A 13,423-nucleotide genomic window follows, 5' to 3' on the forward strand; every position below is an offset into this window, starting at 1 on the left:
TCTATTTATATTACATCACTCCCCATTCCCTTTCCTTTTTGTTTTGTGTGGTTTATTGGTTTCACTGGCTTGTTAATTTTTTCTTTATTCCCTTTTATTCCTTGTTACTTTGAGAGTCCTACTAAGTGTTTTGTTTCTACTAGTGGTTACATTCTCATTCCTTATAACCAACAATAAACTTATGTTCTGCCTAAACATGTATATGTATTTCAAGGAACGTTTTCTGTGTACCCCTTCTCTAGACTCTTACTTAATATTTGCTTACTTAATGTTTATTTTCAGTTCCAGACTGTTACTAAGTTTTTTTTGTTGTTGTTTGTTTTTTTTTTGTAGAACAGCAAGCCTATTGTATTTTAAGAAAACTCAATATTACAGATTCCTGCTTACATTATTATTATCCACTTAGATTTCAATACGTATATGCATATATTTTTATGCATATATGTATATGTTTAAGCATATTATGCACATACATGCATATATATACATATATGCAGGAAAGAGACACACAGAGTGAGAAAGGGTCTCAGTGTCTACTGGTTCCTCTAGTCTTTGATTTCCACCATATTGAGAAAGCTGCTCTGAATCAATTGTTATTTGGTTATACTCTTTCTCAAGTATTGTCCTCAGACAGTGCTTATGAGTTTACTTTTTGAATCCTTGTGTGTTGAAAATGTTTTTTTTGCCTCTTACAGCTAAATAATATTTTGTCTGGGTATAGGATTCTTTAATCAGTTTCTCGTAATAGTTTGTACATTATTCTAGTGTCTTCTACATTCCAGAGTTGTAGATGAGAATTCCCTTAGCTAGGATTAATCCTTTGTAAGTAACCTATTCTTTCTGTCTGGAAGCTTGTATAATTTTCTGTTTACTCTTGAAATTCAAGTGTTTCCTGGATTTACTTCCTGGACTTAATGAGACTTTTAATCTGTGGGCTTAAATCTTACTTCAGTTCAGTATAATAAAATACCTAGCCCTGTATTCATTTAATTACAGTATCTCCCTCATTTGTTCTTTTCTTTTTTTTTTTTTATTCCTTTTCTCTCTCCTAAAAAACACAAAATCTGTTCTGGAATTTCTGTTATTCTCATGTTAGGCTTCTGGAATCTGTCCTCCAAGCCTCTTATCTCTTCCATCATTATGTCAATCTCTTTGTATCTTTGCTACTTGTAGTAGCAAAGTGGGAGAGATGGTGAAATGAATGAGCAAAGACAGTTACTATGGTAAATTAAGATAAAGATAAAGATAAAATTCAGATGTCATATGTCATATTTCATTTACTTGGTCTTCCAGAGCATTAATTTGATTTTCATTAGTGTCAGTGATTTTTTAGTTCTTCTGTGGAAATTTTAAACGTAAAATCAGTATTTATACTTCCAGAAAGAATTTTTTGCATTCTTCTGATTTCTCATTGTTTTCATCATTAAAAGATTCTACCATATTTTTCATCATTTCTACTTCTGTGGGACTTGCCTCTTGTAGATGTTCTATGTGGTCTCTCAGGTGAACTACTCCCATTAAGTTAGTTAATGTTTTTGTTTTGCCTACTCATTGATAAATGCTATTTTGACTTTCATATAGGTTTTTAGTATCTATTCTGCATTAACAAGTCTGAAAGCAGTGAAAGGTACATCAGTTCCTGCCCTGGCACTTGGGCTGGCAGTCACCCAACCGGCCAACAGCAAGTGGCCCCTTCTTTCTTCTTAGAGCACCCTTGGTGGAAGCAGCACTCCTCTCTAGCTGCCAATCTTAGAAGCAACTCAGACTGCCAGTGTAGCCCTGACTCTGTAGGGCCCCTATCTCTAATTCTAATTTTACAAACCTTTGGGTGGGGGTGACTAGTAGGTACAGCTTGCCTAAAGGTGAATAGTTATCCAAAGAGGGCAAGTTGCTAAAACACTTCAGGAAATGTCAAAACTGGTCTTAATAGAAGACTCCCGGAGGGGTAAGCCCTTTGTTCTGCTGCTAGTACCTTGCCTTTACCCACTAATAATATGAACAAAGTCCTATGTTTTCTTTCCCTCCTGGAGAGTTTTGGAGTACCTGTGGCTTCAATTGTACTCACTAAACTTTACCAGTTCTGCTGCTTAATAGCACGTCCATATTACCCATCAGTTTGATTTAAAGAAACTCAATGAATTGGACCCTAATATTGTTTGAATAATCCCAATGAAGGAGGGAGTTGCCAGAGGCATCTGTAGCCATAAAACTTCTGTAGTCATCTTCACTCCAGGCATACTCTCTTATTTTAACTTCTTGTAAAGACCAAGACATCCCTAACTTTCCCTTTATTGGGGAAAAAATCTGCTTGGAAAAACTTAGTTATGCTGTGAAGTGTTGAGTTTTTAAACTATTGCTGTATTATGAACCACAACCAATGCTTGTTAGTTTAATACAGTAATCATTTATTTGACTCATGGACAGCTCATTTAGGCTGTGCTGTCCTAGGTGATCCTTCTGGTCTCAGTTGGACTCACTCACTGGAGTCTTGGCTGACTGATCCACGTTGATCCAAGACAACCTGGGGGTATCTGATCCAGATTGAGCTCAGCTGGCTATTGCCCTGCTCCATGTTTCTCTTATCCTCCTCATGGGACCAGTGGACTAGCCTAGAATGATCTCATGGCAGTGCCAGAGGTGCAAGAGAACAAGCAGAAACACATAGAATCTCTTGAGGCTCAGACTCGGAACTGGCATGCAGTTACTTCTGCTTCCTTATTTTGGCTAAATTCAGTCATGTGACAGAATCAGAAGTCAGAGGTAAGGAATCAGAATCAGAGGTAGGAAAGGAAGCCCTGCCTACAATGTGGGGGACAGGAGGAGGAGGGTGCAGTACTACAAAGTTACATGGCAAAGAGTGTGGGTATGTGGAGACATGAAGACTTAGGGCCATGAACTCAACCTTTATCAGCTGTTGAGAAATACAGTGCAATATTTTAAACTTACAATGGTACCTCAAGAGAGAGAGCCACGAGTTTAGCTTGGAGGTAGTAGAGAAACTTTCACAGAGGAGCTGACATTGGAACTGGACCATAAGGACAACCTGGAGTTTACCAAGCAGACAAAGATAGGTGAAAGGAGTAATAATCCATTAAGATGGAAGGAGAAGTCAAAGTAGAGGCCCAGCACTCTACAGACAAGAATGGGACATCTGGGGATTTAGGAGTTACCCTGTGTGATTGGATCATTGGAAACAATCCTTCTATACTGCCTTTTGCTCCCTAATATTACTCTTGCCAGGGAGCTATCGTACCTCCCCAAAAGTTGGAATTTCAGATGTCATATGCCAGGAGGAGTTAGCATATTGTATACTCTTCAGAACATGTTACATAGGTGGGCTGCCTTCTCCACTTATTAGAGATGTATGTTGCTTAAAAAACCGTGAATAATTTAGCATGTTTCTAGAAGTGCTTGCATTCCTTCAGTATATTTATGCCACTTAGCATAGCTCAATGTGTTCTGTGATCTGTGCCACATGTAAAAAAATCATTAATGATAAGTGACATTTGTTGGCTTTCAAAAGACATTTAAGCCTCACTCAGTGCTACCTCCTCTATGAACCCCTCCTTGATATTTCCTCCCTGTCTCCCACCAGATTATGTCAGGTTCTTCTGCTAAAGGCTTTCATTTCTCCCTCTACTTCCTTCAGAGTATTCATGGCTGTTTGTTAGTATATGATTTTAGTTGTGATTATTTGATCAATTTCTGTCTCCCCAATTAAACTTTCAGCTTCTGTGACTGCAAAAGACTAGATATTTTGCATACCACTGGTTTCCTGGATCCTAGTATAGTGCCAGGATCATAGTAACTGAATATTAAACATTTATTAAGTGAGTGAGTGAATGCATGAATCTATGTGAGTGACTGAATGAGATACATCTAGACTATTGTCCTTGTGAGATAGGTTTTGGGTTATCTTTAAAATTGCATGAGCTCCCAGGTTTACCATTTACCTACCATGTAATGGACAAACGATTCATTCTTTAATGTTTCCATTCAGTCAGTGTTCATTGTGGCTTGTCATAATCCTGAATGTGAATGAGGTATTTGTGATACAGAGAAGAGTAAGGCTGATTCTGGGCTGACGGAGTTGCTGGTTTAGTGGGAGAGATGGTGAAATGAATGGGCAAAGACAGTTACTGTGGTAAATTAAGATAAAGGTATGTCCAGATTGGAACTTGGAGAAGAAGCTTTTCACTCAGTCTGCCCTTCATTGGGGCTTCCTGAAAAAGGACAATCTGAGCTGAGTCATGAAGGCTAACTAAGAGTTAGATGCATAATGGGGATGACTGTTCCAGGAAGAATGAAGCAAAAGGGTTCAGTACACAGGGAAGTGGGAAATCAAGGCTCACTATAGCAAACTCCAAATAATTCAGTATTGCAGAATGAGAAGGCAAGGGTGGGGATGGCCAGAACGGAGTGACTGTGGAGATGGACACAGTCATATCACAAAGGGTTCTTTAAGCCCTGCTGTGCATTGGACTTTGTCCTGAAGTTAGAGCGTAGCAATTGAAGGATCTTAATCAGAGATTGACATAAAATATTTTATTTTATAAAGTTTGCCCTGGGTACAATATGGAGAACAGATTATAAGGCAATAAGACTGTAGGGGAGCAATATGAAGAAGCAGTTACTTACCCAGCATGATAAGGGCTATGGTAGAAGACATACTCCATGCTCTGGGAAATCAGAAGAGGAGTGCCTAACCCAGAACTGGAATCTCAGCCTAGGCTAAAGTAAGAGTTTGAATTATCATGGTGAAGAAGCTGGGATGAGTTTTCCCAACAGATGGGGGTAGGGCAAAGGCACTGAAGTATGTCAGAACATGACTTTCTTCAGAGAACTGTAAGTAACTTTTTATTGTTAGACTACAGAATATTAAGGGTAAATTGAGAAATGTAGCTGGAAAGCATCTAGCGTTCAAGTCTTCCTCCTATTAAATATTGCCTTAGACTGGGATGACCATACTCTTTATTATCTCCACCAGACACTTTAAAAACTTTTTTTTATCATAGAAACTTTTGAACATGTAGCGAGAGTAGTATAATTAACACCCATGAACCCATCACTCTGTCCCAACAACCACCCATGACCAATCTTGCCCTTAGCCACATGCCATTTACTTCTCCTTCTCATGTTGCTTAAAGCGCATTCCAGATACCATGTATCTTATACAAACATTTTCAGTATGTATCTCTAAATGATAAGGAGCCTTTTGTTAACATAACCACAACTACCAATATCATATCTAAAATTTCATAATTTTTTTATCAAATAGCAAGGTTATAATTTCTAATTATCTCACAAATGTCATGTAAACGTAGATGTAAATACGAATATTCATATACAGATTGTTTAATCAGGATCCAAATAAAGGACTGAAACTTTTTTTTTTTTTTTTTTTTGAGACAGAGTCTCACCCTGTTGCCCAGGCTGGAGTGCAGTGGCACGATCTTGGCTCACTGCAAGCTCTGCCTCCTGGGTTCAAGCAATTCTTCTGCCTCAGCCTCCCGAGTAGCTGGGACTAGAGGCATCCACCACCAAGCCTGGCTAATTTTGTATTTTTAGTAGAGACGGGGTTTGACCATGTTGGCCAGGCTGGTCTCCAACTCCTGACCTTAAGTGATCTGCCTGCCTTGGCCTCCCAAAGTGCTGGGATTACAGGTGTGTGCCACTGTGCCCAGCCAGGGCTGAGACTTTTGAAAGTGAAGGAAGGTACTATCCATAATTAACAGGTATCCATGGAGACTTTTTACCTAAGCAGGGATGTGTCATTATCTACACTGGCTTATTCCACTTCTTTAATACCTCTGCAGATACCTGGACGGGTATTTTGCAAAATATAAAGGAAGCCTCACTCATATGGTCAGTTCTATCTATATCTCTTCTATTTTCTTAGGTCTCTCTGCTCCCTGGTGTGTAAGTGGACATATTCAGCAGAGAAAGGCTGGGACGACAGTTTCTGGAAAATGATTGGTTTGGAAGACTTTGTTGCAGATAATTACAGCAAAATAGGTAAAAGAATAAAACATCTGTAGAGTGATTATGTGCATTGGAGGATCTTGATGGGTTTGTTGTTATTGTGGTTTGTATGTTTCTTGTTTTTGTATGCATGAAAATACAGGAATGAAGTTCACTTTTTCCAAGACAAATGAGTTAATTATGATGGGTAGGCCATGACTAGTAGGCTCTTGCCTTAAGATTTATATGAACTGAGTAGAGATACATGCTATGAAAATCTGCATTGAAATATAGAATCAGAAATTGCGCTGGGCATGGTGGCTCACACCTGTAATCCCAGCACTTTGGGAACTGAGGCAGGCAGATTGCTTGAGCCCAGGAGTTCGGGACCAGTCTGGGCAACATGGTAAAACCCCATTTCTACAAGAAAAATACAAATGTTAGCCTGGCCTCGTGCATATGTCTGTAGTGTCAGCTACTCCGGAGGCTGAGGTGGGGGGATTGCTTGAGCCTGGGAGGCAGAGGAGGTTGCAGTGAGCTGAGATCGTGCCACTGCATGCAGCTTGGGCAACAGACAGAGCAGAACTCTGTTTTGAGGGGGAAAAAAAAATGGGCTAGACTGAGGAAGATATTTGCAAGGAGCAGCTTGGGAATAGCATACTCAAGGGGCTGTGTATGGACTGCTTCCAGTCAGTACTACGAAAATAATTTTACAAATTAGGTTCACAGGACAAGGCAAGGCTGTGAACAGGTAAAAAATAAAGCTAAAAGATCAATATTAGAAAATCTAGAAAAAAGCAGAAACTAGAACGAGTCAGTGGCTCCTAACTAAGGCCTTAGGGTCTCAGACTAAGGCCTTTTATGTGGGTGGTAAAGTACATCTTCTATGTCCCAAGCACATTTCTCTGTGCTTGTATGTACCTTGTTTTATATATTTCTCACAACTACTGACAAAAGCACTGTTGCATGTTTACAGATGAGAATCAGAGAGATTAGTAACCTTGCCTAACCTGGCATGGAATCAATAAATGGTAAGTCAGGATCGAAATTCTCCCAATGGGAGGACCTAGAAGGAACTAATATTTTACTGGAACACAAATTTCAGCTTCAGTTACCTAATGGTTTAAGTGATTTGTAAAATGTATATGCCCTCCAAAAAATTAGTTGTTTTTTGCTGAATATTCCCATGGTATGTTGTTAAACATAGCTTTATTAGTGTATATATTGATTACCTGTATATGTGTCTTGATTCCTCACTAGACTGTGAGCTGTTTGACATAAGGATTTTCACTTATTTACCTTTGTATTTCCTGTCCTAGCACAAGGCATGGCATATTTTCATATCTCAGTGACTTTTTGATTAAAATATTGAGATGCTTGGTACTAGGAGGTTGGCACTCTTTCCTTTAAAAATCTGTAATGATATTTACTGATTTTAACATTATCTTTGGCAATTGGGTATAACTTCAACTCTGATTTTCTGATTATTTTTATATTTTTCTGCTCCTCTTTCCTGCCTCACACATGACACATGTTTAATTAGTATATTAGCTCTGCTAACGTAGCAGTATCTACAAGAAATATTCATTAGAAGTCCATAATGTTAATCTAGCAGAAAATTTCCAGAGTAACTTTATTAGATTTTTTCCCTGTTAAGTTAATGGATTTTTAATGGATTTCCTAAGGAGACATATCATTAAGCAGAATATTGCTGTACGTGAATTAGAACTTACCCATTTATCAAAATTAATTGTGTGATGTTTCCTTTGATTTTCGCTTCTGGACACTTGAGCTTGTAGTTTCAGTCTGAACCCAAAGTAGAAGATATTTAAGAGGCTGTTTATTCTCAGTTGTGACTTTCAGAAACTCCTCTGGAAGCTACCTCTAGACATTCTTTAGCAATTCTTGGAACTATGAAAGATGAATCTCAGAAGCCTCCCTATGAAGTGTTAAACATTTCCAGTGGCCTCATTGCCCGTCAAGATGTGGGCAATATAGTGTGAAACCTTTTAGCAGATTTGAGCATTGAGCGTCCTGGATTTGAGCATTAATACAATTACCATAATTTGCTCCATGTGGAGCTTTTAGCCAAGCCTTTACCAGGCTTCCTGGGCCCATGCAGTAAATAAATGCTTTCCCTGAAAACTGAACACCTCAGCAACTGATGGTCTTATGGAGGAATATTTTTAAAATGAATTATTTATGAAGTGTAAGTTAAGGATCAAATGCAATATTTATATGGTGCATTTCAAGGACAGGAGAAAAAATTTACAGGGTTTTAAGTAATAACATGCAAGTTTCTAAAGCTAAAATGTTACTACCTAATGCCTTCTTTCAAGGAGGTATTTGGATGGCTTGGTTTGGGAACATTCACAAAGTAAGGAAAAATAGTTTTGTGCATCAAAAGAATATAGTAGAAATTTCTTTACAATTGAATAGAAATTTCTTTACAGTTGAAACTGTACAAGTTGACTTAATGTTCAGAATTGATGGAGAAAAATGAAACAGATTTTGGGTAGGAGATTATATAGCCCTACTGACAAAATGATCTGTGTTCAATGAAATGATCCAACAAACTGATCTGTGTCAATAAATTTTGACCTTTAATTCCACATGAATAATTCCCCAGTTACCTATCTAATCCTAAACATCTATCAAAAGCAAACAGGAAGGAAGAGATCAGCAGGGAGAAAGGACCTTAGGAAGATAAGCAACATCCCACCTGTTCTAATTGATTATCCAGGTGCCATTTCAGCATGCCGCGGTTGCCTTTTTAATTCCTGGGAAAATCTCTTTGTTCTACTATTGGGGTAGCCCACTTTATGAAAAGTCGTGTGTGCAACATGGCTGAATTATAGAGTGATTATCTGCATTACTAACAGGGTTTGTCATATAAAGGGATTCAGTGTATTAGCTTATAGATCATTCCTTTATTTGGGACCAGGGAAGCCAGGCAAAGAAAAATGTAAATTCCAAGTCCAGGAAGTTAGTAAGTGTTAAGTGAGAGGCAGAAATGAAGATAAAGGGCAGGAGACAGTTTCTTGAGTGGAGGGAGGCTGCTTTTTAAATGGGTTTCCTCGACCCGGGAAGCACAAGGGGTGGGGGAGATTTCCCTTTCCTAGACAAGGGAAGCCATGACAGACTGTATCTGGAAAATCGGGACACTGCCGCCCAAATACTGGGCTTTTCCAACAGTCTTAGCAAACGGCACACCAGGAGATTATATCCTGCGCCTGGCTCGGCGGGTCCCATGCCCAGGGAGCCTTGCTCTCACTGCTAGCACAGCAGTCCGAGATCGAACTGCAAGGTGGCAGTGAGGCCAGGGGAGAGGCTTCCACCATTGCTGAGGCTTGAGTAGGTAAACAGAGCAGCTCGGAAGCTCGAACTGGGTGCAGCCCACCACAGCTCATCTAGGCCTCCCTGCCTCTGTAGACCCCACCACTGGGGGCACGGCGTAGCTGAACAAAAGGCAGCAGAAACCTCTGCAGTCTTAAACGTTCCTGTCTGACAGCTCTGAAGAGAGCAGTGGTTCTCCCAGCACAGTGTTTGAGCTCTGAGAACTGGACAGACTGCCTCCTCAAGTGGGTCCCTCACCCCCGTGTAGCCTAAATAGGAGACACCTCCCAGTAGGGGCCGACTGACATCTCATACAGCTGGGTGCCCCTCTGGGATGAAGCTTCCAGAGGAAGGATCAGGCAGCAATATTTGCTGTTCTGCAGTATTTGTTGTTCTGCAGCCTCCGCTGGTAATACCCAGGCAAACTGTCTGGAGTGGACCTCCAGCAAATTCCACTTTATGAAAATTCCTGCAGCTGAGGAACCTGGCTGTTAGAAGGAACTCTAACAAACAGAAAGGAATAGCATCAACATCAACAAAAAGGACATCCACAACAAAACCATCATCAAAGACCAAAGGTAGATAAAACTATAAAGATGGAGAGAAACCAGAGCAGAAAAGCTGAAAATTCTAAAAACCAGAGCACCTCTTCTCCTCCAAAGGATCACAATTCCCTGCCAGCTACGGAACAAAGCTGGACGGAGAATGACTTTCACGAGTTGACAGAAGTAGGCTTCAGAAGGTCGGTAATAACAAACTTCTCCGAGCTAAAGGAGGATATTCAACCCCATCGCAAGGAAGCTAAAAACCTTGAAAAAAGATTAGATGAATAGCTAACTAGAATAAACAGTGTAGAGAAGACCTTAAATGACCTGATGGAGCTGAAAACCATGGCACAAGAACTACGTGACACATGCGCAAGCTTCAATAGCCAATTCAATCAAGTGGAAGAAAGGGTATCAGTGATTGAAGATCAAATGAATGAAATAAAGCAAGAAGAGAAGTTTAGAGAAAAAAGAGTAACAAGAAACGAATGAAGCCTCCAAGAAATGTGGGACTATGTGAGAAGACCATATCTACATTTGATTGGTGTACCTGAAAGTGACGGGAAGAATGGAAACAAGCTGGAAAACACATTTCAGGATATTATCCAGGAGAACTTCCCTAACCTAGGAAGGCCAACATTCAAATTCAGGAAATACAGATAACACCACAAAGATACTCCTCAAGAAGAGCAACCCCAAGACACATAATTGTCAGATTCACCAAGGTTGAAATGAAGGAAAAAATGTTAAGGGGAGCCACAGAGAAAGGTCACATTACCCACAAAGGAAAGCCCATCAGACTCACCACGGATCTCTCAGCAGAAACTCTACCAGCCAGAAGAGAGTGGAGGCCAATATTCAACATTCTTTTGTTTTGTTTTGTTTTGTTTTGTTTTTTATTTTATTGTATTTTATTTTTTTCTTCTATTATTATTATTATACTTTAAGTTTTAGGGTACATGTGCACAATGTGCAGGTTAGTTACATATGTATACATGTGCCATGCTGGTGTGCTGCACCCATTAACTCCTCATTTAGCATTAGGTATATCTCCTAATGCTATCCCTCCCTCCTCCCCCCACCCCACAACAGTCCCCAGAGTGTGATGTTCCCCTTCCTGTGTCCATGTGTTCTCATTGTTCAATTCCCATCTATGAGTGAGAACATGCAGTGTTTGGTTTTTTGTCCTTGCGATAGTTTACAGAGATATAGATCAATGGAACAGAACAGAGCCCTCAGAAATAACGCCGCATATCTACAACTATCTGATCTTTGACAAACCTGAGAAAAACAAGAAATGGGGAAAGGATTCCCTATTTAATAAATGGTGCTGGGAAAACTGGCTAGCCATATGTAGAAAGCTGAAACTGGATCCCTTCCTTACACCTTATACAAAAGTTAATTCAAGGTGGATTAAAGACTTAACCGTTAGACCTAAAACCATAAAAACCCTAGAAGAAAACCTAGGCATTACCATTCAGGACATAGGCATGGGCAAGGACTTCATGTCTAAAACACCAAAAGCAATGGCAACAAAAGCCAAAATTGACAAATGGGATCTCATTAAACTAAAGAGCTTCTGGACAGCAAAAGAAACTACCATCAGAGTGAACAGGCAACCCACAAAATGGCAGAAAATTTTCGCAACCTACTTATCTGACAAGGGCTAATATCCAGAATCTACAGTGAACTCAAGCAAATTTACAAGGAAAAAACAAACAACCCCATCAGCAAGTGGGCAAAGGATATGAACAGACACTTCTCAAAAGAAGACATTTATGCAGCCAAAACACACATGAAAAAATGCTCATCATCACTTGCCATCAGAGAAATGCAAATCAAAACCACAATGAGATACCATCTCACACCAGTTAGAATGGCAGTCATTAAAAAGTCAGGAAACAACAGGTGCTGGAGAGGATGTGGAGAAATAGGAACACTTTTACACTGTTGGTGGGACTGTAAACTAGTTCAACCATTGTGGAAGTCAGTGTGGTGATTCCTCAGGGATCTAGAACTAGAAATACCATTTGACCCAGCCATCCCATTACTGGGTATATACCCAAAGGACTATAAATCATGCTGCTATAAAGACACATGCACACGTATGTTTATTGCGGCTCTGTTCACAATAGCAAAGACTTGGAACCAACCCAAATGTCCATCAATGACAGACTGGATTAAGAAAATGTGGCACATATACACCATGGAATACTATGCAGCCTATACACCATGGAATACTATGCAGCCATAAAAAATGATGAGTTCATGTCCTTTGTAGGGACATGGATGAAATTGGAAATCAACATTCTTAAAGAAAAGAATTTTCAACACAGAATTTCATATCCAGCCAAACTAAGCTTCATAAGTGAAGGAGAAATAAAATCCTTTACACACAAGCAAATGCTGAGAGATTTTGTCACCACCAGGCCTGCCTTACAAGAGCTCCTGAAGGAAGCACTACACACGGAAAGGAACAACCAGTACCAGCCACTGCAAAAACATGCCAAATTGTAAAGACCATCGATGCTAGGAAGCAACTGCATCAACTAACGGGCAAAATAACCAGCTTACATCATAATGACAGGATCAAATTCACACATAACAATATTAACCTTAAATTTAAATGGGCTAAAGGCCCCAATTAAAAGACACAGACTGGCAAATATGATAAAGAGTCAAGACCCATCAGTGTGCTGTATTCAGGAAACCCGTCTCACGTGCAGAGACACACATAGGCTCAAAATAAAGGGATGGAGGAAGATCTACCAAGCAAATGGAAAAAAAAAAAAAAAGGCAGGGGTTGCAATCCTTGTCTCTGATAAAACAGACTTTAAACCAACAAAGATCAAAAGAGACAAAGAAGGCCATTACATAATGGTAAAGGGATCAATTCAACAAGAAGAGCTAACTATCCTAAATACATATGTGCCCAATATAGGAGCACCCAGATTCATAAAGCAAGTGCTTAGAGACCTACAAAGAGATTTAGACTCCCACACAATAATAATGTGAGACTTTAACACCCCACTGTCAATATTCCACAGATCAACAAGACAGAAGCTTAACAAGGATACCCAGGACTTGAATTCAGCTCTGCACCAGGCAGACCTAATAGACATCTACAGAACTCTCCACCCCTAATCAACAGAATATATGTTCTTCTGAGCACCACATTGCACTTATTCCAAAATTGACCACATAGTTGGAAGTAAAGCAATCCTCCGCAAATATGAAAGAACAGAAATCACAACAAACTGTCTTTCAGACCACAGTGCAATCAAATTGGAACTCAGGATTAAGAAACTCACTCAAAACTGCACAACTACGTGGAAAGTGAACAACCTGCTCCTGAATGACTACTGGGTAAATAATGAAATGAATGTGGAAATAACGATGTTCTTTGAAACCAATGAGAACAAAGACACAACGTACCAGAATCTCTGGGACACGTTTAAAGCAGTGTGTAGAGGGAAACTTATAGCACTAAATGCCCACAAGAGAAAGCAGGAAAGATCCAAAATTGACACCCTAACATCACAATTAAAAGAACTAGAGAAGCAAGGGCAAACACATTCAAA

At 39.6% G+C, this 13,423-nt stretch overlaps 1 protein-coding gene across 57 annotated transcripts in view, besides 1 other annotated feature; it reads left to right on the forward strand.

Moving 5' to 3' along the window:
* The window catches only part of FGGY (FGGY carbohydrate kinase domain containing), a 466,353-nt gene that overhangs the window by 154,684 nt on the left and 298,246 nt on the right, over window positions 1-13,423 (forward strand). For all 57 annotated transcript variants that reach the window (XR_007061929.1, NR_103473.2, XR_007061930.1 and 54 more), the window contains one exon: window positions 5,900-6,015. Coding sequence is in view for 54 of the 57 variants with exons in the window: in XM_011541731.2 (XP_011540033.1) it covers window positions 5,900-6,015 (116 nt within the window). In the remaining 3 variants the exon portion in view is untranslated. The remainder of the gene's footprint in view (window positions 1-5,899; window positions 6,016-13,423) is intronic.
* Window positions 4,163-4,363: a silencer, noted in NCBI's record as "peak255 fragment used in MPRA reporter construct". NCBI's record gives its function as "represses an SCP1 promoter by STARR-seq MPRAs in K562 erythroleukemia cells {active_cell/tissue: K562}" and the evidence as "EXISTENCE:reporter gene assay evidence [ECO:0000049][PMID:32103011]".

The sequence above is a fragment of the Homo sapiens genome, chromosome 1 (assembly GCF_000001405.40).
Source record: "Homo sapiens chromosome 1, GRCh38.p14 Primary Assembly".
Taxonomy (NCBI): Eukaryota; Metazoa; Chordata; class Mammalia; order Primates; family Hominidae; genus Homo; species Homo sapiens.